The sequence below is a fragment of the Homo sapiens genome, chromosome 8 (genome assembly GCF_000001405.40).
Source record: "Homo sapiens chromosome 8, GRCh38.p14 Primary Assembly".
Lineage (NCBI taxonomy): Eukaryota > Metazoa > Chordata > Mammalia > Primates > Hominidae > Homo > Homo sapiens.
In genome coordinates, this window is record NC_000008.11 from 119,324,556 (window position 1) to 119,325,773 (window position 1,218).

Genomic DNA, 1,218 nt, shown 5'->3' on the forward strand with positions numbered 1-1,218 from the left:
GTAATGAATTCAAAATACGGAAGACCAGAAAGGAAGGTGTTTTGAGACTAAAGACAAAAGATGATTGCCTGAACTATGATAATAACAAAAGATGAAGGTAAGCAAAAAATAAAAGGAGAGCCATTTTATCAAATAGAAACACAAGGCTTGATAACTGATTACATATAAAAAGTAAATGAGAAAAGGGCAAGTCATGGAAAATTATTGGGTATTTGGCTTTTATAATTAGGTAGATGGTGGTAATTTCACTGATAAAAAGGACACTAAAGGGGGATATTTATAGGATTTTATGTGGTGATATCTACTAGGTGACTAACAAATTAGATCTGAAGCTCTGGAGAAATATCTTGGCTGAAGATATAGATTTGAGAATCATGATTGAAATTATATAATTGAATTTGTGAGTATGAAAAATATAATCCTCAAAGAGAGGCTACGTGAAGCAAAAAAATAAAAATTCTATCTAGGCTAGAATCTGGAAGAAAATTCATATACAAGAGATTAGCAGAAAGCAGGGAAATTCAAAACAAACTGGGAAAAAGCAGAGTAATTAGAGAAAGTTTAAAAAATGTAATAATAATAGGGAAAAATATTTCACAAAGTAGGGAATATTCAAGATTGTATTAGGTTGGTGCAAAAGTGATTGTGGTTTTTGCTGTTACTTTTAATGGCAAAAACTGCAATCACTTTTGCACCAACCTAATAAATTTGCTGCACAGAGATCAAGTCAGTTGAGGATCAGTTAAAGAAATTATTGGTGACTCTGGCAAGAGCACTTTCAGTGGTGTAGCATGGGACTGGTCTATCAAAACTGCCATCTTATAATCATTCATATAAAACAACTAACCAATAATAAGAATATGGAAGACAGACTCGGCCTGTGTGCTTTGGCAACTTTAAGTTCCTTTGGTACTGCATATGCTGATCAACAAAGTAAATGATATTGAAGGTGTTGAGAGTATGGATACTATGCAATAAGAAATTACCCACAACACAAATGTACCAGAATTTGATTTGACGTGGAAATTTTACAAAATTTGTTTTGGGATTCAAGCTTGCTCTTTGGAAGAATAGTGAAAGACTTACTTATCATCTCCGGAACTCTAAACTTGCTGATGATCAAGGATGAGACAACCAAAATTATTATCACCATAAAAATATTAGTTAGAAGGATTGCATATCATTCAAAGTGTAGTATTACTACCTAAACATTCACTT

General features: G+C 32.5%; 1 non-coding gene across 1 annotated transcript; it reads left to right on the forward strand.

The window, feature by feature from the left end:
- Positions 1 to 615: 615 nt before the first annotated feature.
- On the forward strand, positions 616 to 710 carry MIR548AZ (microRNA 548az). The gene has a single exon (NR_106755.1). It is a non-coding gene; the product is annotated as a microRNA 548az (primary transcript).
- Positions 711 to 1,218: the final 508 nt, after the last annotated feature.